Source organism: Homo sapiens, chromosome 9 (assembly GCF_000001405.40).
Source record: "Homo sapiens chromosome 9, GRCh38.p14 Primary Assembly".
Classification (NCBI taxonomy): domain Eukaryota; kingdom Metazoa; phylum Chordata; class Mammalia; order Primates; family Hominidae; genus Homo; species Homo sapiens.
Window position 1 is genome coordinate 70152556 of NC_000009.12, and position 24684 is coordinate 70177239.

A 24684-nucleotide genomic window follows, 5' to 3' on the forward strand; every position below is an offset into this window, starting at 1 on the left:
GCTTTTTACACTAAGCCTAGTGTAAAAAGCCTCCCAGCCCTCGCCTGGCTAACATCAAAAGTGTAGGATCAGGTCCAGCCCTAACTCTCAGGATTCCTGAAAAAAATTTGGACTTTATTTTTAACCTTCTGGTGTTCTAGTTTAGAAATAACTTTGGCTCCTAGGAGGGGTCAAAATTCGGCATTATAGTTTGAGCTAGTTATGTAACCTTCCTGAGCCTTCCTTTTCTTTCATGTGTAAAATGGGTATACCAGGAGTATAGCCATATATCCATAGTACCTGGTAAAGCTCAAAGGCAATGCATCATATAAAGTTCTTAGCATATAAAGTTCTTAGCATAGTACCCACACATATCATTTATTAAATTTAGCTGAGCAGAGAGAAAAAGACTAATGAATGTTTTTTTCTTAGTCCTGATCCCCATAAGGTTTTATAGACAACATCTCTTTAATACGTGGATAATTCTACACCTGATTTTTGCTCTGAAGTTCTTTAAACTAAAAATCAGGTCAGAATTAAACCTTTATTTTAATAAGATGATACTTTCTTAAAGAAATGGCTGCTTTTATACAATTATAAACAGTTTACAATAATAAAACTTTATTTAATGTTTTAAGAAACGTTTTGAAAAAGGATGAATCATGAAATGGTCCTCTGGATCTGTTTTTCCTCTTTATGAAATAGAGAGCAGGTAATCAACAGTTACATTGAGACTTTCACACATTAAGGAGGATAATGAGGAGAGAGAACAATTCAGTCCAAAACACTTTTCCTAAAGGCCAAATATTAGGAAAGACTAGAGAGTGATTGTCAGAAATTCCATAACAATGGACACAAACATTAGCCCTTATATATTCAAATCCTTAGTTTATCTTTATGCTTGGTCACCCATGGTAGCATACATATTAGATCCTGCAACGCCTTCTGGCCTGAAGCTAGCCTTTCCTTTAACAAAGATCGTTCAGTGGTCTGTTAATTAGAAGCACTGGGAGGAACTCGATATTGTGTTCATTAAATATTTCTTTTGGAGAAAAATCGTTAAACAGTCCATAAATGAAAATGACTAAAGGCATTCCATTTCACTGGGATCAGGCTTAATAATCAGCCCAGCAGTCATTAAAATCTTCATGGTAAATCCTTTTAAGTCTGCATCTTTACTCTGTCATAGGACTGAAAAAAAAAACTTCAAAGTCATTTATGTATTTGGGAGAAAGCCCCCATCCAACCAGTTTTTAAAAATATAAATACATATTTTTTTTTCACTAGGTGAGAATCTTGTGTCAGCCCTTCTCATCTTATGTCTCGTGGAGCACAAATGCCTTGAGATATTCCATTGAAAAAGAGTTCTGTTGTCAGATGAGTTTGCAGAACTTGGCAGACTGGATCTCTACTCCACACACATGAAGATTCACAAAGCACAGTGACATATTAGAAACTCTCAGTAAGGTTGACGTTAAAGAATCCAGTTTAACCTTGTTAAAGGGTGGCAATTTTCTCAAAGCAATTAACCTAGAACCCTTGTCTTGTATAGCACCTATCACCATCATACTACTCTCATAGCACTTAATGCATTATGTTGAAATTGTACTTACCTGTCTCGTTAAATCAGATGTAAGCTTCTGGAGAATACGGCTCCATGTTTTTTGTTTTGTTTTGTTTTTTTAATTCCTAACATCAAGGCAATTTCTGGAACAGAGTGGGTTCTCCTGTTAGTAACCCACTAAATAGTTAAGACAGAAAACTATACTATCAATGAATAGGTGTTGATGGTAAGGAAGAACATAATTCCATCAAAGGAAAAAGGAAGATTAAATGTTTCTGCCTTTGGCTAAGATAAACTATAATCCCTTATAGCATAGCACCTGAGCAATTTGTCCTACAAGGAATTTTAGTGTGAATACTTAAAACCAGGAATACCTGGCTAGAGTGAATATTAAGACATTTATGGTATGCTGAGTCCGATTTGGAACAATTTTTTTTTTTTTTTTTTTGAGACAGGGTCTCTGTTGCCCAGGTTGGAATGCAGTGGCACGATCATGGTTCACTGCAGTCTCCACCTCCTGGGCTCAAGCAGTCCTCCCACCTCAGCTTCCCAAGTAGCTGGGGTGCAGAGCCAGCTAATTTATTTTTCATTTTTTGCAGAGACAGGGTCTCACTAAGTAGCTCGGGCTGGTCTGAACTCCTGGCCTCAAGCTCTCCTCCCACCTCAGCCTCCCAAAGTGCTGGGATTACAGGCGTGAGCCACCGTGCTTGGCTTGTTTTGGAACTTTTTATGATGGTATTTACTAAAACCAAGAACTGTGATTCTTCCCTTTGAAACAGCTTCCCATTCTTAAACTGTGCCTTTTCCTATTCCCAAGAACCTAAATCAAGTTTTACCAGCCCCCATGCAAATCCCAATCCTTTCCCTGCCCCACAACACAGCTTATCCAGCCTCCATTCTGCGATCATGGTCAGTGATGTGGTTGCTTCCACGTCATACCCTCCCCACCTGCAGGTCTTCCTGGCTTCTCCACCTTGGTCCTCCTAATGCCTGGAAACCCAGGGTAGCTTTCATCTTTACCCCAGTCTTCTCAGCACAGCTGGAGAAAATAAGACTAATCTCCACTGTCCCCTCCATTCTGCTGGGAAAGCCTTTTATGCATCTCATCTCTTGTTGACTTTTCCTCGTCCCCCATCCCAGATATTCAGGTCTATTTTCACTCGCAAATTTCCAACTTGACCCTCCCTGCCTCATTCTTAGGATGTGATCTCATGGGTTCATCTCCCAAAGGATAAAGGCATCCAACACAAGCTCCTTCAGTTCTGTTCCTCTCTGAATCTTCACCTGCCTCTCTTCATCTCCTGATCAATCTGACAAAGAAAGTATTATCCTTGCTCTTCGTCAAAACCAACCTGCCCATCTAGGCATTTGATCTCACCTTCTTGCCTCCTCTGGGAACTTATTTCATAAATTATTCCCTCTCTCGTAAATCTTCAATCTCCATTAGTCCTTTGCATACTGCCAATATATGTTAGTCTCCTGCATTCGACACCGATGAACAATAAACCTTCCTTTCATCTCAGTACCCATTTAAGTTGCCAATCCCTCCCATTCCTTCAGCCTCCAAACTTCTGGAAAGATGTATCTTCAATTATTGTCTTCACTCCAGTGTGGCTTCTCATTCCTCAAATCCTTGTCTTCTGCCCTCTGCCTTCCTCCTCCAATGCTCCCTCAGCGTTTATCAACAGCAAAGTATATCTCATTGATCTTGTTGCAGAAATCATTATACATACCCAGGAAAGTCCTATGCTTCTCTCAATGTCTACCTCAAATGCCTCTTCCTCTTTGAATCTTTTATAAGTCATTGACTTGGGTTTTACTTGTTGGAATGGTATTTGTGTAATGAAGGAGCTCTAGTTCAGGAATATAAAGAGTTGCCCTGACTCTAGCATTTACTATGTAAATCAGAATGTCATGTCACCTTTCTGTGAAACAAGGACATGTTTTAAAATGACTTCTAGGTCTCTTCTACCTCCTGTTATATTTTTGGCATCTTAATAGCAGAAACTGTGTTTTAACATTGTGCAACATGGTTCTTGTTGGTAATTTTCTCTACTCCTTCATTTTCTCTTACAAAAATCTTTCCCTTTTAGGAAAAAAAAAGTTGAAATTTAAGTCTTTGATTCAAATTTCCACTTTTAAAATCTTTTTAACTATGCCCTTACAGAATGACAATATGATTACATGTAAAATACCTAGGGTTCTGAAATTTTAAAGGCAGCTCTAGAAGTTCACTCGAATAGAAGAGCAAGTCTAGAAAGTTTCTGTAGAGATTTATAAATAGTTGGCTATTTAACAGCCAGACACCCTGCTATAAAGAGATTAAGGAAGCAGAAAACCAATGTGTAGACAAGACACATGAGAGGAGGTGAATTTCCTATCACATTTCATGATGTCTGGGAACACTGGAAGAGAACTGCTTCAGGATATTAATGTCCCAGCATTATTAAAGCAGAGCAGCTGAGAGCAAAGTAGAAATAGAAAGGTCATTAATTACTGACAAGATAATCAACACATTATAGAGCAGATTAAGGTGGCTTTGTACACAGAACAAGGAAAATTATACTGTCAAGTGGAATAAGTTTTCATGTCAAAGAATAAGGAGCTAAGTATGGAAAAGGAACCTACTCTTGAGTTTTTCAAGCTAAACTCAGCATCATTTGTGAGTTCATGAATTCTACATTGCTTTAAATATGAGTAAGGCAGGCTGAGATACTCTTGTTTTCCTTCTGTTTCATTTCCTTTCAGTTATTTGTTGAGACCTTCTGTGTTTCATGCCAACTTATGAGAAAATTACTGGGAAGATAGATTAGCACAACTGGTAGTTGCTGACACATACTTTACACGAACATAGTGTTTATGTCAGTCCATTCTTTCGTGAGTTTTCTGAGTAATTTCATGGAACATTGTTGGATCAGCAATTTGTTCTCCCAGCAATATGGAGACATCCGAAAAGACAGACCAGGCATTCTTTCCCTATAGTTTTACTAATAAGCTTAATTAGGCAAACATTTATTCCAAAGTTTGTTTATGAACCTGAAAATACCACTTCCCTTCCCCACTTCCAAACTTCTATCTTGTGAATATTTCACAGCCGTACAGTCATTGCATTTTAAAGAAATATTTTCCCAAATTCTAGGTGATGCCACATTATTTTTTGATGCTCGCATTGAGATTCTCTGGGGATCCTCTGGTTTTCTGAGCTCATAGACCAAATAAGTATTTGCTGGCCTCTAGAGCTATAAGCTCAACTCATGCAATTAGAAATTGACAATTCACACATTAATAAAGACTCTCTAATTTCACCAGAGGAAACATACCTTATTTCCTTTTGCATAGATATGCCTACCTTTCCCTCCTCCTCTTATATGTCTTTCTCTGGATATTTTCTGCACTATCTGTTTAGTACTTACTTCTAGTAGAAGTCTCTCTCCAGTGAGTCCACAAATCACTTCCCTCTGGCATATCCCACCACATCACTGACAGTCCATGAGCATTTACTTTTGTTTAGTATCAGGTTACATGTTTATCTATACGATGCTCAAAGATAAATTACTATTTGTGGCCCTCCCATTTCATCTCAATCTTCAAACCAAGACATTTGGTTCTGCTTTATTCAAACGAGGAATGCCACATAAACAAATCTGAAAGGCAAATGTCAAGTCAGAGGGGGAAAAAAAGGTTGCAACATATGCAACAAAGTCTTAATACATTTAAAATAAATATATAAATCTAATAAATCAATAAGCCAAAGGTAAACTAAGCAATAGGAAAGCGGATAGGATATATACAGGCAAATCAGAAAAAAAGAAATATAACCAGAAAATAAATGCACAAATATACCCAACCTCATTATAATCAAAGACATTATGTTTTTAGACAGGGTCTTACTCTGTCACCCAGGCTGGAGTCCAGTGGTGTGATCATAGCTCACTGTAACCTTGACCTCTGCAAGGTCAGGTGATCCTCCCACCTCAGCCTCCCAAGTAGCTGGAAGTACAGGTGTGCACCATCATGTACAGCTAATTTTTGCATTTTTTGTAGAAATGTGGTCTCACTATTACCCAGCTTGTCTCAAACCCCTGGGCTCAAGCGATCCACCCATGTATGACCTCCCAAAGTGCTTTACAAGTGTTAGCCAACACACCCAGCCAAAGAAATCTTAAAAGTAATGAAATAATACATTTGTCTATCAAAATATTTTAAAAACATAATACCCTGGAGTATGATGTTTGTATTAATTGCTGTATTTATACTGTACACTGTTTGTATTGTTCAATTTATGAATTAAAACATAAATCTTTCACTTTAGATGCAAGTATAAATATATATACCCATTTATATATATACATATATGCATATTTGGGTCTAAAGTGAAATATTTATTTTTAAATATATATAATATGTACATATATACATATAAATGTTTTCTGGTCTAAGTGAAAGATTTATTTTTCAATATATGTACTATACATATGTATACATATTAATGTTTTCTAAAGTGAAAAAATTTTTAATTGATAATTGAATAAATACATTCAAATGTACTTATATATGTATATACAGTCATGTATCACTTAATGATAAGGATACATTCCAAGAAATGTGTTTGTTAGGCAATTTTGTCCTTGTGAGGATATCATAGAATATTTATACAAACCTAGATGGTATAGCCTACTACACACCTAGACTGTATGGTATAGCCTACAGATCCTGGGCTTTAAACCTATACAGCATGTTATTGTATTAAATAATGGCAACAGTTACAACACAATGGTAAGTATTTTTGTATCTAAACATATCTAAAGAGACAGAAGTACAGTAAAAATATGGTAGTATAATCTTATGGAACTACCATTGTACATGCAGTCCATCATTGACTGGAATGTCATTATGCAGTGTATGACTGTATATGTATATATATAAACATATATGTGTGCATGCATAATACACACACACACACACACACACACACACACACGTATAACATTACCCTGGAAAGGTGAGGATGCAAGGAAATAAGGATTATCATGTGCTCTTATATGAGGGTAAATTGGCACAATGTTTTAATAACAATTTAATTACATGAATAAAAAAGGAAGCGCTCAAACATGCATACTTTATTACATAACAATTCTACATCTAGGGATTTATCATAAGGAAATAATCATGGTTATGCACAAAGATTTAGCTATAATCGTTCATTCCAGTAATATTTATAATACTGAGAGAGTGGAAACTACCATATTGTCTGTTATTAGGAGTTGGTTAAATAAGTGTGGCATAGGTTAAAAAGGGGTAAGAGTTATGTAAGCTTTAAACTGCAGCTCTTCTTCACTTCATGGATCTACACTTTGGCTTGGGAATCAATGAAAATCAGGCTAATTGCCTCTATGTCTCAGAGGTGGGTAGGGCAAAGTCAGCATTCTTATTAGCAAAGGATTGCTAAAAGTGCTTGCTGTCTTCTTCAGGCCCAGGAGGGGTTCATCTAGAGCAGAGTGAGCCCTTGAGAGGCAAGAGGAGGACCTAGATTCTTCCTTTTTGCTGTTTGTGGATTGCATTCTATAAATCTATCTTCTGGCAGGACTGACGTTTTTGTAACTCCAAGTGAGCCACAACAATGACTCCAATTATAATGCCTGTCCTTGGACATGACAATTAAATTGGTCTTTACATTTTATTACATTACATTTGTCAGGGCAGTGTTTGACCAGGAGAACTCCCTATGGGAGGTGGGCCAGAGAGAAACCACATTGTATTTTTAGCCCAGCACTGATTTTTTTTACACAAAATCACAGGCAGCCCGGAGGCCTATTAGAAATCACCAGACTGGCTGGGCACGGTGACTCACACCTGTAATCCCAGCACTTTGGGAGGGTGAGGCAGACAGATCACTTGAGGCCAGGAGATCAAGACCAGCCTGGCCAACATGGTAAGACCCTGTCTCTACTAAAAGTAAAAAAATTCGCAAGGCATGGTGGCGCATGCTTGTAATCCCAGCTACTCAGGAGGCTGAGACACGAGAATCCCTCGAATCCAGGAGGGAGAGGTTGCAGTGAGCCGTGATTGCGCTACTGCACTCTAGCCTGGGCAACAGAGGGAGACCCTGTCTCCAGAAAAAAAAAAGAACAAAAAACAGAAGTCACCAGATGGTCACCTGCCCTCTTGAGGAGTACATGTAAAAATCAGGAAGGCATTTGCACCTATTTTCCTTCAGTGATAATGAAAGCTTTATGGGGTAATTAAATATAATAATGTCTTCATTATTAGGGTGGGGAATTAGAGACTAAAACATTAAAAATGATGTCATCTTAGCTTTGTCTAATGTTCATTTTTTTCAGAGGTTTTTCTCATTTATTTTCCACTTGCATCTTCAACATTAATTGTGTAGGATTAGTCTTCTCTGTCCCACCATGAAAAGAACATGAACTTTGCAATCAGACACACTTTGCTCTCAAAACAAGGGGGAAAAGTGAAAATGGGTGCAAGTGAAGATAAGGGTGTAGATGTGGATGTCGGAGAAGCTGTGAGCATTCTTTCTGGGGGGCCTACATTTTCAGCGCAGAGCAGGGCAGTGATGTCTTCGGCTAAGGGTGAGAAGGACGTGGCTGAGGTGAGGGAAGAGCTGCTGTGGAAAGGAGGAGATACTATGGCTGGTTCGACATTAGCCAGTTCTGAAAATCAGCCACAATCTATGTAAGAGTCAGGCTCCTGTGCTGAGTTACCAAAATACTCCATCAACAAACGTAAGGCAAAATGACAGGAAGCTTGTTGTAAACACAAGTCAAAGAAATGTTTGGTCCCATGCTATTAACTGGGGAGTTGCATCATGTCTCTCAGAATCGTATTTTAAGATACCTAAAGCAAAATAGGGAAAATGAGGGGGCTGTATAATGAAATACATTCTATCAGGGATCAGGAAGGGGTGTAATGTTTCATACCCGAGTCTGCAACTGGCTGTTGTGTGAGCTGCTATCACAGGCTCTCTGGACCTGTTCTTCATTCTAAAAAATAGCTGATTCTGTGGTCCCTTCTGGAACCTCCCCTCCCCTTACAGTGGCCTAAAGATCAGAAAATAAAGCAGATTTCTGAAATCTTTGAGTTGAGAGGTTTGGATGTTTACCATCCAAATAGCAATGAAAAAGTTCAGCTACAGGCCTGTATTCTATCACAGTGTGGTCCCTAGCCCAGACCTGAAGGCTCCTGGGAGCAGAAAGACTTTCACACTGAGAAAAGCTGGAAGCTGCTTGATCTCTGTCGCTTGTAAGAGCCAAAAGTTGAATTAAATCAGATGGGTCTTTTAAAAAAGAAAAAACTAACCAGATGGGTCCTTTAAGAAAAAAAGTATTGGTCAGCTAAAAACTTATTTAAAAACACATGGTCATTCTGCCTTTTGTGGGAGATGAAGACCAAATATAGTATCTGCAGCAGGCATGCTTTTGCAATTTTGCAGCTATTTCTCAAAACAGTGCTAGGTTCTAAGAATGCTAAAGCCTCACACTTACTTTTCTAGATAAAGCTTCACTTAGTCTGCCTTCAGGGATTTGTAATAATTTCATCCATTTTGCCAAGTATCTCAATATTGAAATTTTTTAAAAACTCTATTACAACTTATTGTCAAACAGTTAAATGAATGCAATTACATCGTATAGTATATCTTACAGATGTGTCAGTAGCATCTTAATGAAGGGCTCTGGAATTTCACTGACTGGATTATAGTAATTTTGTGAATAATTATGCCACCAACTCTGTAGTTGTCGTAACCAAATTTATCTGTGCAAATGATTTCAAAAGATTTTAACCTCATCAGAAGAAAAGTTAAATTTAACTCAAAATCAAACCGTCTGGGAAATTGTTGAGGTCTACCACTTATAATAAGAACTTAACTAGGTTCATTTTGTGAAAATGGGTAAGTTATGATATTGTTGGCACAGGACTGAAATGTTTCTATCCAAATATAGAAGGCAATTTCTGGAAGCTATCATTTACATGCTAATTATAGGCCTAAATGGGGCCATTCAATTGGTAAAGTAGATGGTGGATTAACCCAACAACCTAGTCTACCATGTCTATCAAGCAGGTCATGGAATCTACTCTAAAAGGCAGTGAAAAAATATTTAATACAGCCAGTGTTTAGTTCTTTAACACAAACAGTCCTTTTGAACTATATAACAAAGATTTGATTTGATTTGACTTCACAGCACCCAACAAAATTTATTTCCTCCATTTCCTGGCAAAATTCTATTCATTATATTTGGTAGTTGTTAAACTATAACATCCTATAAAGTGAAAAGCAATAACCCTGATTATTTTAAAACCTATCTTGATTTGGTTTGAGAACATGAATTCCTGACATACCTGATTCTCTACTTTTTCTTTCCTGGGTACTTTTGTTTTGTTTTGTTTTTTTAAGACAGGATCTCACTCTGTCACCCAGGCTGGAGTGCAGTGATGTGATCACAGTTCACTGCAGCCTCAACCTCCCGGGCCGAGGTGATCCTTCCACCTCAACCTCCTGAGTAACTGGAACTACAGGTGTACACCACCGTGCCCAGCTAATTTTTTATACTTTTAGTAGAGAGGGGGTTTTGCCATGTTGCTCAGGCTGGTCTCGAACTGGCTGCAATCTGCCTGCCTTGGCCTCCCAAAGTGTTGGGAACAGGCATGAGCCATGGCACCTGGACTCGTGGGTACTTTAACCAGGAACTTTTATGAACTTTGACAGGCCTAGGGGCAGTCTGACCCCTTGGACTAACACAACCTTGTAGGTGGGTTTCCACACAGACCTCCTCCTAATCAACCACCCCCCTCAAAAAAAAAAAAAAACTTTAGAAGAGACTTAAAATTATATACTATGAGGAGCATTTGCTCAGTGACCTTTTAGGTTCTGCTGCCTGTCATTATGTTGTTTCTAGAGAGCAGATCATTGTTTTTTTGAAAGGGAGAAAGATGAAAATAAAGAGGAGATTCTATTGTCCTTTAATAATTACAGTTTTCTAAAGCAGGAAATTGGAACAATAAATCCTTGATAATCCAGGGGATGATTATTCAGTTTGGGTATTAGTCCATCTGCCTTGCATTTCTGCTCCTTTACCTTTTGTTTCCAGGGCTTCAGGATATTTCTTTCTTTCTTTTTTTTTTTTTTTTTTAGACAGAGTCTTGCTCTGTCACGAAGGCTGGAGTGAAGTGGCACCATCTTGCCTCACTGCAACCTTTGCCTCCTGGGTTCAAGTGACTCTCCTGCCTCAGCCTCCTGATTAGCTGGGACTACAGGCGTGAGCCACCATGCCCAGCTAATTTTTGTATTTATGTAGAGACAAGGTTTCGCAATGTTGGCCAGGCTGGTTTTGAACTCCTGACTCAAGTGATGCGCCTGCCTTGGCCTCCCAAAGTGCTGGGATTATAGGCGTGAGCCACTGTGCCTGGCCCATATTTCATCGCTTGTTAGAACAATCACCTGGTGATGTGTAGAGGAAGAGAAAACTAAATCTAGTCCATTTTTAGAACAGTCTTGTTCTGAGTGGAGAGAATAAATAGGTTGAAATCGACTGTGAATCCAAAAATCAGGTAACAGATCTGGTCACAGTGACTTATCCTGTAATCTCAGCACTCTGGGAGGCTGAGGCAGGCAGATCACTTGAGTCCAGGAGTTCGAGACCAGCCTGGGCAACAAGGTGAAACCCTGTCTCTACAAAAAATACAAAAATTAGCCGGGTGTGGTGGTGCACGCCTGTAGTTCCAACTATTTGGGAGGCTGAAGCAGGGGGATCACTTGAGCCCAGGAGGCTGAGGTTGCAGTGAGCCAAGATCACACCACTGTACTCCAGCCTGGGCACAGAGTGAGACTCTGTCTCAAAAAAAAAAAAAAAAAAAAAATCCAACTCCGAAAGTGCCTAGCACAAGGACTGCACATAACAGGAATTTAGTTAAGTGAGGTTTTATAATCCACACAGCAGTTTTCTACTACTCTTTACCAGTGGTTCTCAGGGAGATTTTCCCCCAGTGGACATTTGGCAATGTCTGAAGAAGTTTTTGATTGTCACGACTTGGCAGTGATGCTGGCATCTAATGAGTAGAGGTTACAGTTGCTGCTAAACATCCTACAATGCACAGGGCAGTCCTCCATAACAAAGAATTATCTGGCCCAAAACGTCAGTAGTGCTGAGGTAGCAATACTCTGTTGTGGATTTTAAAAAGCATGTATACTATGTATTTTTAGTATAGTAGAGAGTAAGTTAAGTAATATTGTTGATCCCTCCTTGACTGTATTTAAAATTATTTCTTTGCAAATATGTTTTTACAGCTCTCCTTTCATTGCCTGTTTGTGTTTCCAGTCTAGGCAGATTTCCTCGGCTATGAATATTCTCCATCAGGACAAACATTTTAAAGTATTATCAGAACCTAAGGACTGGGATCTTGAGTACATGGAGACATTGATTTACATAAATTTAATTTGTCTCTAACTTTTAAGAGATTTGCATAAAATCAGGAATACCTTTCTAAGGGATATCACTTTACTTGGCCCCTCATCTTCTTTCCCCTTCTTTTTTTTAATTAATTGTTTTTGAGAGACAGGGTCTCACTCTGTCATCTAGGCTGGAGTACAGTGGCGTGATCATGGCTCACTGCAGGCTCCAACTCCTGGGTTCAAGAGAGCTTCCCGCCTCAGCCTTTCAAGTACCTGGACTACAAGCGCACACAGCTAATTTTTAAAATTCTTTTGTAGAGATGGAACCTCTCTATGCTGCCCAGGTTGATCTTCAACTCCTGGCCTCAAGTGATCCTACTGTCTCAGCCTCCCAAAGTGCTGGGATTATAGATGTGAGCCTATAATTAATATAATTAATATTTAATTTAATATTTAATATAATATTTAATATTTAAGAGGGTATGGTACCCTCTTAGATACTAATATACATTTAAGCTAAGATTTTTTCTAGTCTTAGAGATGTTCCACTTGCTTCGAAATACTGCCTACAATGAAATAAACACTGCTTTTAAGAAAGATCTATAAATAAGAGGTTAATCCCCTCAAGAATTTAGACTATGACTAATTCCCTTCTTGTTATGTTCTTAACTGGACCCAGAGGGTAAGTCCTTAAGAACAGGACAAGATGTTTGACTTATTCTTTGTCCTGCCTCAACCAGGCCCACTCATCCGCTTGCCCAGTCACCAACTACCCTAAAATAACCTCTCCACCTCAAGGAGCATACAAAATGTAAAATGGCAGCCCCAAAATAAGCGCTGACATGATCAGCATTACTAATAGCCAGGCAGAAAATCCAGTGTGTTAGATCAAACAAGCTGATCTGGTTGTGCTTCTTTTGTGTGTTAAAATACTGACAGACAACTGCCAAGCAAATTTGGGGATTAAGGCCGTCATTTGAACCTAGTCAGTAGCTGACTAACCTTAGGGATCTTTTATCAGACAGAACAACACATGGTCTGGCGAATGTTTTAAGTGTGGAAAAAGTGCTAAGGTAGAACAACCTAGACGTCTGCTATTGTCCAAAACATGCTTAACATTTCATTCAACCCACTGTGGCAATTCACGAAGTATTTGGAATATCCAAAAGGAGCCAGGGAAGTCTATCCAATAGAACTTTCTGTAATGAGGAAATGCTGCATACCTGCTGTGTCCAATTCAGTTAACCATGAGCTGCATGTGGCCACTGAGCATCTTCGAATGTGGCTCGTGTGACTGAATACATGAATTTTTAATTTAATTTTAATAGACACATGTACCTAGTGGCTATCATAATAGACAAGATCATCTAGGAAATAATAATGACTGATTATTCCACATCTTAATTGTAAATATCCTGATTCCTTTTTCTTGTGTCAAATATAAATATAAAGGCTGGGTGAGGTGGCTCATGCCTGTAATCCTAACACTTTGGGAGGCCAAGCGGGTGGATATCACCTGAGGTCAGGTGTTCGAGACCAGCCTGGCCAACATGGCGAAACTGCATCTCTGCTAAAAATACAAAAATTAGCCAGGCGTGGTGGCACATGCCTGTAATCCCAGTTACTCGGGAGGCTGAGGCAGGAGAATTGCTTGAATCCAGGAGGTGGAGAATGCAGTGAGCTGAGATCGCATCATTGCACTCTAGCCTGGGCGACAAGAGCAAAACTCCCATCTCAAAAAAAAAACAAAACAGAAATATATATATATATACACACACACACACACACACACACACACATATATATATATACATACACATATATATACACACATATATATACACACACACACATATAAATATAGAAAGAAGGGGGAAATTCTGTTTAATGCCCATAATTTTATGAGTCTAACATAATTGTTGTAAATTTGGTAAACTTTCCAGTCTTTTTCTATTATTTTTAGATGAACTAGATATTATTTTGTCTTATTTTATTTAGTTTTTTCACTTAACATTATGAGAGGAATATATTTCTGTACTATGAAATAATATGCCCAAGTTATCAAATCTGACAATGGCCAGTTTCCTAGATAATTGTGCCGTAGTTCATTTATTTCTTCTATTTTTAAAATTCTGGGTGTTTGCTTGCTTACTTGCTTGTATGGTTTTATGGTCACTATAAAACAATGCTATAGTAAACATATGAAAGCATGTTAATATTTCTCTTCTTTGGAATTTATTACCATGCCAAATGTTTGAGTTTTATGTAGGTAATGATTTAGATGGTGAACCATTTCACTACCACATATTCATTTTGAAAAGGTACTTTTTTAGTATACTTGTGAAAAATAGACTTTAAAGCTACCCCCCACACCCCATAAAATAAAGCCAAGACTCTTCTGTCTGCACCACAATTAATTCAGTAAATTATGAGATGGATTAATATTCCTTCCCATATAACAAAAAAAGTTACTGCTAAAATATAACCGCATTCAGGGCTGATGACACAGACCTTTGCTTTACAAACAGGGAATAAGTTCCCAGTAGTAAACTCTGCAAGTAAAATATTTTACATGTTCAGATCATCTCTAGAATCTATAAACATGAGAAAATTAACAGAAGTAAACGAGAAAAAAAAATCCACCCTGTTTTGTTTTGTTCTTTGTATATATACAGAGTTATACATTGTGACAAGTCCAAACTATCCTTTTTATAATTGAAAGCAATATGAATACAGTGCAAGTAAACCTTCACACATCTTACAATTAGTAATTATCCAGAAGGTCTTGGATTAAGACATTTTATATTTTGCATACTGGTAAGCTGTCACATGATCTTTACATTTCTTTTTAAATAAATTCTATATTCTAATGACTCTGATCATCAAAAAGCAAAAGAACCCTACTGATAAAACAATAAATTTAAAACATAACATTTTAAACTAGAGCCTAAAAAAATCAAGTGTTCTCATTATTTGTAAGTTGGGTTTCAACTTCTGTTATATCATCCTTTGTCTGTTTGAATTAGATTTGTAATTGAGGGATTCAATGAACATGGACTAAATGAGCTTGTGCTACGTAAACATTGTGATACATTCAAAGCAGCTTTGTAATCTGCAAGTACAGTGAAAATCTAATACAAATGTTTTTAAAAGGTCTCTTAGCTCATCCTATATATGAAAAGTAGCCTTTAAAATTTGCCTGATGGAAAGAAATCCAAGACTTTTCTGTCTTTCTCTGGAACAGTAGATTTAATAATTTATGGTATGGATTTGTTTTTCCTTCACAGACAACAATAAAAATGTTTGGACTGATAAAATAACTGCATTTAGGGCTTTTATTAGTGACACCAACTGGGAACACAGATCTTTGTCTTTGGAAATGGAACATAAGCCTCCAGATGGCAAATCACCAGGACTTTGTTCACAATGTGAATGAAGCATGTTGCCAGAAAGTCATTTCCAAAAAATCAATAGTGTTTGTACTGGAAATGTTTGAAAAATGCTCAGAAAACCATCAAGTCTATATGTACTTTGTGGATTATCTGGGGAAAATGTTTAAAACCTGACAGGCATTTCTCTGTCACGCAGTTAACTTCTTGCTTTCCTCACTCTTCCTGTCAATTCTTTACGAAATGCCACTAATTTCAGCATTAGTATGCACAATATATCGTTATATTCTGCTCAAATATATTAAGTAATTCTAGGCCAGGTGTGGTGGCTCACAACTGTAATCCCAGCACTTTGGGAGGCCAAGGCAGGCAGATCACCTGAGGTCAGGAGTTTGAGACCAGCCTGGCCAACATGGTGAAACCCCGTCTCTACTAAAAATACAAAAATTATCTGGGCATGGTGACGGGTGTCCGTAATCCCAGCTACTCAGGAGGCTGAGGCAGGAGAATCACTTGAACCCAGTAGGCAGAGGTTGCAGTGAGCCAAGATCGTACCACTACACTCCAGCCTTGGCGACAGAGCGAGACTCCATCTCAAAAATTAACAATAATAATAAAAGTAATTCCAGGGTTTTATGCAGATGGTAACCATTCTTCTTCCTACTGTGTTCTGTTGTTCATACGGACGCTGAAGAGCTGCTTGTAGTTTGCCTATGCTCGCCTGCTGTGCTAAGTGAATCCCAGGTTGTTAGGAGTTTCCAGTTTTCAGTTAACAGAATTCATAGCTTTATTTTTATGAATTTCAGGTGGTTTTCATGAGCCTATGCAAAAGTTTCTGGGACTGTGGGCTTGTAGCCCTGGATGACATTACAATACAATTGGGAAGCTGCTCATCTTCAGGTAAGACGGCAATCATTTTAGCTCTCTGTCTCTCTGACCTATACATACATTTCCTGTATCGCTGAGAATCACATACATTTCATCTGTGCTAGTCCATCCTTTGCTTTTGTTGACAAAGTGTCTCCTGCAGAGCTGTGTAGCAGGCTTTGAAATTTAGAAATGATGATTCCAGTGTAATATGTGTCTTTGTACATGTGACTTAACCCCTTTATCCTCATTTGGAAGGCAACTAGTGGTATCTACCTGAATATTGGGGATAATACATACATTTTCCACAAAACAGTGCTTTAAAAACAAATATCTTCTACTATAATTATTACTATTACTGTTGTTTTTGTTATCTTACATGAATGCAGATTTTCAAGCAATATTAATGAAATTTTTATTTCACAGATACTTGCTAAGCATGTAATTTAAAAATTTTAATAAACATTTTCTAAGTGAATTAAATGACAGTGGAACAATAGACCAAGCAATGATGATAGTAGCAAAATAAAGTCATGGTAGCTAGCTATGTGTCATACATTACGCCTAATGAGAAAATGGTGCATAACTCAATCCCAATCATTGATCTGTATCTGCTAATTACCATTGCATCCTACATCATAGGACATCCATTTCTTTGACACACAGGCAAATCGTGGTATCAGTCTGGTGCTGGAGAATAATCTCCATGTTTATTTAATTAAAAGACAATTTGTTCTTAGTCTCTTAATTTGCCAGGCACTGCAAGGACAACCCAGATAAAAATCGTTCCACTCAAGGCATAGAAGAAAGAATGAGGTTTCATTAACCAGTACTGTGTGTAAAATAAAATGAAGTAAAACAGTGATCACAAAAGAGACATATGAAACAAGCTATTTATTAGAAAAATTTGGCTAAGAATCTGGATATAGGGAGGTACAACCAAGTTTAGTCAAAGGAAAAGTCCCCAATAAATTGGGAAGAAGCACCATTCTAATAATTATGAATGTTATTGAAGATAGCATTCAAAGACATAAACATTGGATTTGGGAAAAGGAAAATAAACCTCTGGGTGGCAAAATAAGTTCTAAAATTTAATTATTGAGAACTTCACATTAAAAATGATCACTTTACATATACCATCTCATTTAATCCTCACAGACCCATGAAGTGACTACCATCAATATTCCCACATTAGAGATAAGAACTCTAAGGCACAGAGAAGTGAAGTCATTTGTTCCACACAGCTATGCCTCCAGGAGTCCATTTAGCACTCTCACATTCTCCCCTACCTACAAAGCAACTGTGGAGTTGTTATGAGGATACCCTTCACTCATCCAGGATTTCTGAAGAAAGTGCCTGCATTATGAAATTTTATTATTTTCCATATTTTCATAAAGGCAATATACCTATAATTTCCAGAGCTTTATAAAAAGAAATTCACAAAAATTCACAAGTCAGAGAAAGTTTTTTTCTCAAAGTAGCCCAGTATTTTAGATCTGTATATCTGATTGTTCTCTATGTCTGTGGCAGGACCCGCAGTGGAATGCAGCCTCTAGCTGGAAGCAGTGGCTCCGTGTAGGTGGGCCACCAGTGGGGGCTGCCTCTCCATCGCATGGCATATGGCCAGACAACATTCATACATGCAGAGTGGGCTGCTAGCAACACAGAGTCATTGAAAGAGTCTCAGTGATTGCAACATCTGCTATTTTCTTGCAGAGAAACTTCCACCTCCACCTGGAGAGTGTACTTTCGAGCAAGATGAATGTACATTTACTCAGGAGAAAAGAAACCGGAGCAGCTGGCACAGGAGGAGGGGAGAAACTCCCACTTCCTACACAGGACCAAAGGGAGATCACACTACTGGGGTAGGTGAGTTATGCCACGTGGTGCTGTTTCCTAAGGAAAGCTTCTAAAATAGCATTCTAGGAATCGTTTACTGCATTTTGAAATGTGCAAAATTATGTCTTGTGTCTATAATGAAATGCACTTGTGATTCTACACACACAGGATGATTTGATATGGGCATTGAATATCTCATCCTTTCTGTTTATTACATTGCTTATGTACATTGCTGCAGCAAGGATCTAACAGGGCTTACAAAGTTCTGCACACAAAGAATAGAAGTAAGTTAAAAGGTCAAAGAGAGGGACAAAGTAGGGGAAAAAATGGTAATCTAAATTGGAGCCAGGGCCGAGGCCTAATATACAAAATATATTGGCAGACAAAGGAAGAGGCATACAGGTTTGACTCCAAGCTTTCAGTAGCCAAAACGCACCTGTAAAACATGATTCACAGAATGAGCAGTCCACGTGGGTGGGCTATAAGCAATGATGGGGTGCATTTTCTGTAGAAAATGTATAAACTGCAATAAAACAGAGTAAGAGTTCATCTACTTCATATTACCAACATGTATCAGCAATTGTAAACATTGTCAGGGACAAAATATGTCCCGTAGGCCATGTGTGGTGGCTCACTCCTATAATCCCAGCACTTTGGGAGGCCAAGGTGAGAGGATTACTTGAGTCTAGGAGTTCAAGACCAGCCTAGACAACATAGTGAGACTCTATCTTGACAATTTTTTTTTTAATTTAGCCAGCTGTGGTGGTGTGCACCTGTGGTCACAGCTACTTGGAAGGCTGAGGCAGGAGGATTGCTTGAGCCCAGGAGGTCAGGGCTACAGTGAGCCATGTTCATGCCATTGCACCCAGCTTGGGTGACAGAGCAAGGCCCTGTCTCGAAAAAAATAAATAATAAATTAAAAAGTACCTTCCATAGAATGGATCTTTCTCACTCACACCCCCATTCCATTTGGTATACTAACTGAATAAAAGCACAACACTTGGTCCAGAGAAGCAGAACTACCCCTGATACTAAGCTCATAGAGATATTTCCTCATGAATTCTCCTAGAGAAACCATTATGATAGTAAATATGAGGGTAATTTGCATTGTGCTGTTTCTTATGGTCTAACTTGGGATATTTAATCTTTTGGCTTCTCTGGGCCACATTGGAAGAAGAATTGTCTTGGGCCACACATAAAATACACTAACGCTAATGACAGCTGATGAGCTAAAAAAAATTGCAAAAAAAATTCTCATAATGTTTTAAGAAAGTTTACAAATTTGTGTTAGGCCATATTCAAAGCTGTTCTGGGCCACATGCAACCTGTGGGCTGCAGTTTGGACAAGCTTGATCTAACTCAAGATAAGCCTATGGAATAATTACCACAGAACCACCTCCAGTAAAACCTGTTTAATTGGCTAAACATGGTAGAATGTAATAATGAACAGCTTTATTTTTTCTATCATTCTTCAAACATAAAGATCCTCTTTTCCCCATGCCTTGGCAAATCCCTTAGCTTCCCAGTCCTGTTGAGACATTAGAACAATTAGATATTCAGGTATGTCAAAAGTCCAGTTCAAATCAAAACTTCCATTTCTCATTCAACTGAATCTTCTCTCTTTCCCTCAGCTTGGGCCTGACTCATAGTTTGGAAGGATAAAGGAAGAAACAGTCTATTTTTTCATTTTCTTTGTTTTACCTCCCCTCCTGCCCCTCATCTTCATGACTTTTTAATCAGGGAAGGTGGAAGATGGATTAAAAGAAAGGAACTTTAAAAATATTTGGTGCTATTTAAAGTGATCTCTTAGCTATTGAATGTCCTTTGTTATGACAGATGTCTAAATGCTGGCTCTTTCAGGAGCCTCTGCATCTTACCATTTCTGGCAATGTTCTCACTGGCTAACCCTCTGAGACCACCCGCTTCCCTTAGTACTTGCACTACAGAATACAACCCACATAGATTTTTCTGTTTGGGTTCCTCCTGGAAATTTTTCCTTGGGTTCTTTCTGGAACAGTTGTTTCCAGCCACCTTGCTAGTGAGTGTCCATTTGGCCTCAATAGTGATGCACTCCTGCCTAAGAAGATATGCAGCTTGGTCCTACTGCTGACCTCTTTTCTTGCTGCTTCAGCAGATTCTGGGACAATGTTGCTTCGGTAAAGGATGCTGTTGAAGAGATTTAGCATTGGCCCAAAGGCAGACCAGATGCTCACTTTCAGCATTGAGTGAAGGATGCTAAGGTGGTTCCTTATGTGTGAAGCTATCTCTGGAAAGATATCAGGATGTTAAAAATATAACTAGAAAGGCCTATATGTATTAGGACTATTCTAAAAGCTTATAACAGAAAATACAACTCAAACTGACTTAAGTGAAAAGAAAATCCTTTTTTGGACTTTGTTACAGAAAGAGACTACTGTGGGGTTAGCTTCAGGCACAGCTTGATGCAGGGATTAAAACTGTGTCCTCAGGAGCCAGTTTCTCTCTCTCTTTCTCTTTCTACCTCTTTGAGCTGGTTTTTCTGGGTGGGCTCCAATCTAGACAGGATCTCCTGTCATGGCAACACAGTGGCTGTAGCAACTGCAGTCTCATGGGCCTTTCAACATTGAATCTAGCGGAAAGTGAAAACTCAGACAAAAATACCCAAACTGAATCTCATTGGCTCTGATTGGAAATGTCTTGAGGGCATAGTACTATAAAGGTCATTTTTGATTCCCCACAGAATTTAGTATTCTGTCTTATACACAATAGTTGCTCAAAAATGCCTATGGAATGAATGAATGAATGAATGCACAAATGAATAAATGAATCTATAAACCTTCACTGACACATTTAATAATAACTAACCAATTAATTATTGAGACCCTAGAAAATCGGATGGTGGAAAGGTATCTATTTATTGCAAGAGGATTGAAGTCAAGAATGAATCAGTTTTAGCTAGAGTCTATTGTAGTCTAGATGTTATGTGTATGTGTATTTTTCTTGAGAAGGTTGATAGTTTTTCTTCCTTTTGTCAGGTATAGCAGTAAGAGATCTAATAAGAGGTACAACCAAAGAGAACTATGTTATGGTAGACTACTACAGGGAATTCTGTGGGTAATGAAGACTGTGGAATGCCTTAGACATGGAAGAGAAGACATAGAAAAATAGCACTGAAGGGAAGGAGTCCCTGAAAAGGGCAAGGAGAGACACCAGGCCAGGTTATAACAAACCCAGGAACTTAGGGCATCAGGACAACCTAAGGTTTCCCATTCACTAAGTAAGGTTCCCATTCACCTTGAGAAAGTTACTTAAAATCTCTAAGTCTCAGTTCTGTCATCTAGAAAATGAGAATAATCATAACCACTTACCTATTTTCCTAACTTCACAGGGTGGTTGAATTTAAAAACTGAAAGGCTTTGGGATTAGACTGCCTAGGTTCAAATCTTAGTTCTACCTTTAACCTCTCTAAGCCTATTTTCTTTATCTTTGTATTAAGAATAATTAATACCTACCTCACAGACTGTGGTGAGGTTTAAATGAAACAAGATATAAAACATACTTAGAATAAGACCTGGCATATGACAATTAATTATTGCTCTATTATTCATTTACTCCTTCATTCAGCAAATAGCTATTGAGTGTCTACTATGTGCCAGGTACTGTTTTAGGTACTCATGAAACACAGATGAACAAAACAGACAAGCATTTACCCTCACGGAACTTCTAGTAGAGGAGACAGACAAGAAATATTAAGCTTAATTATAATTATGCAGTATTTTAAAAGGCGATAATTGCTACAGAAATAAAAATGGAGCAGGTGAGGGAGTTAGGGAATCGAGAGGAGAATGTGGGTGGAGTTAACTAATGTAAATAGAAGAGTCACAACGAAGCCCATTGGAAGGTAGCCTTGAAAAGAGTTGAGGTAGCTCACCAAGAGCATATCTGGAAAGCAATGTTCCAGGTAGAGGGGACAGCCATTGCAAAGCCCCATAAGTGAAAGCATGCTCAGTGTGTCCTAGGAACAGCAAGGCGGCTGGTTTAGCTATAGCCTAGTGAGCTAGGGAGACAGTGCTAGGAAATGACCCAGAGAAATAATGGTAGGCCAGCTCATGGAGGACCTTGTAATTAATTAGAAGGGCTTTGGATTTTTTTTTTTTTTTCCGAGATAGAGTCTTGCTGTGTCGCCCAGGCTGGAGTGCTGTGGTGTGATCTCAGCTCACTGCAACTTCCACCTCCCGGGTTCAAGCAATTCTCCCTGCCTCAGGCTCCCGACTAGCTGGGATTACAGGTGCCCGCCACCATGCTCACTCATTTTTGTATTTTTTAGTAGAGACAGGGTTTTGCCGTGTTGGTCAGACTGGTCTTGAACTCCTGACCTCAGGTGATCCATCCACCTTGGCCTCCCAAAGTGCTGGGATTATAGGCATGAGCCACTGTGCCCAGCCAGGACTTTGGATTTTACTTTATTTCAAATGGAAAGTCACTAGAGAGTGTTGAACTTAGGAGAGAAGCGATCTGATCTAATTTTATAAGGATTGCTCTGGCTACTGTGTTGAGGAAAGACTAGGCGTGCAAATGAAGCAAGGGTGAAATCAAAGAGCCCTGTTAGAGGCTACTGCACATAACCCAGGTGAACAATGATGGTAAATTTGACTATGATAGTGGATTTGACTATGATGGCACATTTGACCAGCAACCATGGATTGAACTGTGTATTAGCAATGAGGGTGGTGATAAGTGGTCAAATCCTGGATATATTTTGAAAGCCAAGCCACAGAATTTCATGATGGATTAGATGAGTATAAGAGAAAGAGCAACGTTCTGAGTAGCCTGATAAAACCTTGCTTGTGTTCAAGAAACCCTTATTCTACTGAAAAATGGCAAAGTGTAAGGGTAGTGATGCTAGCATATTGTTATAATTGTCTTATTTTATTATTCCTTGTTAATCTCTTACTTGGCCTAATTTATAAATTAAACTTCATCATAAGTATGTATGTATAGGAAAAAATATATAGTATACATAGGGTTCAGTAGTATCAGCAGTTTCAGGCATCCACCAGGGATCTTAGAACATATCCCTCAAGGATAAGGGGGAACTACTGTAGTTTGCCAGGGCTTCCATAACAAAATATCCCAGACTGGGTGGCTTAAACATTAGAAATTTGTTTTCTCACAGGTCTGGCAGCTTAAAGTCCAAGATCAAGATGTCGGTAGGGTTGGTTCCTTCTGAAATTTCTCTCCTTGGCTTGCAGATGGCTGCCTTCTTGCTTCACATGGCCTTTCCTCTGTGCCAGTGCACCCCCGATATGTATCTTCTTGTAAGTTCACCAGTCATAATGAATTACAGCCCACCCTAACAATCCCATTGTGACTTAATTACCTCCTAAAAGGTTCTATCTCCAAATACAGTCACATTCTAGTACGTGGGTTAGGGCTTCAACATACCTCTTTGGAGAAGACACAATTGAACCCACTCCCAGGATTTAGGGCAATGGGTTGAACATTGAAGGAACAGGGTAAACTCTTAAGTTAAATGGCTGACAACCAAGCCCTGTCCTGCTCCTCATGTCATTATGCTAAAATAATGTTATAGTCTGAGCTTGCTTGACTAGTAGACCATGTCCTACCTTCTCCTCATAAATACACAGTCTATGAAAATCTAACAAAAGCACATATAGTAGATATTAAATTGCTCCTAATTCTACTCCTGTATTTACATTATTTCTGGGTTATGTGGACACACTTTAGCTAACATAGTATTGCTTTGTCTAAAGAAAATAATTTGGTTGTGTTTGCTTTGTCTTCTTAAAAACTTTGAAAGATGCTTCAGCTGCCTCGGGTTATACTTCATAGCAAAAATAGAGTGCATGTTATTATATGAATATATTGTGGAAAATTTTGAATGCACAAACTTAGTGTGTTCAACATTTATTTTGAGTGAATATTTGACATATTAAATAAAACTCTCTGGTGCACAACACAGAAAATTCTGATTTTTAAAGTAAATTTTTTCTAGGGCCTGCCTTCTTTATTCTCTGTTTCATTTGCTTCAATATAGATTTTCAAAAATTTCTCAAGACACCTTCCACTTTTCTAACTAACTCTTTTACCACTTATATCTTTTTATTCCCATGTACAACAATGTAAATAAGAAAAACAAGTTTTGCTACACTGTGCCCAGGGTACCTACAAATATAGCATTAGGTTGAAGGTGTTTTGTTCTTGTTCTTGAAATTACTTTAATAACTAATTTTCTAGGGAAATATAATATCAGTGATTATTTACAGTAGTTCCCCCTTATCTGCAGGGCATATGTTCCTCGATGCCTAGTGGATGCCTGAAACCAAAGGCAGTATTAAACCCTATATACAATATATTTTTCTCATACATACATACCTATAATAAAGCTTAATCTATAAATTAGGCACAATAAGACACTAACAATGACCAATAATAGAATAATTACAATATATTGTTCTCAATTTCACAGACAGAAGATTTGTTCCTACTGTAGATCTCAGCAACCTCAGATTTTTCCTTTCCTTGTTAAGTCACAACCTTTCACCTTTTCACTTGAAGCACTTTATGGCTTCTCTTTGCCATATCTAAACTGTCAGCATCACTACTCTTGCACTTTGGGGCCATAATTAAATAAAATA

At 38.3% G+C, this 24684-nt stretch overlaps 1 protein-coding gene and 1 long non-coding RNA gene across 4 annotated transcripts in view; one reads left to right on the top strand and one right to left on the bottom strand.

The window, feature by feature from the left end:
• MAMDC2 (MAM domain containing 2) overlaps positions 1-24684 on the top strand; it is a 183392-nt gene that overhangs the window by 108975 nt on the left and 49733 nt on the right. Inside the window, exons 10-12 of one of the 3 annotated variants that reach the window (NM_001347990.2) lie at positions 16147-16240; positions 17924-18072; positions 23202-24012. In NM_001347990.2, the coding sequence (NP_001334919.1) occupies positions 16147-16240; positions 17924-18072; positions 23202-23255 (297 nt within the window). In that variant the 3' untranslated portion in view covers positions 23256-24012. Of the gene's footprint in view, positions 1-16146; positions 16241-17923; positions 18077-23201; positions 24013-24684 lie in introns of those variants that run through there. The other 2 variants (NR_125850.1, NM_153267.5) reach the window with 2 other exon arrangements.
• Positions 579-23333, bottom strand: MAMDC2-AS1 (MAMDC2 antisense RNA 1). Its single transcript, NR_040076.1, has 4 exons — positions 23200-23333; positions 18483-18569; positions 4957-5187; positions 579-1686 (listed from the first exon to the last, which is right to left on the bottom strand). It is a non-coding gene; the product is annotated as an MAMDC2 antisense RNA 1 (long non-coding RNA).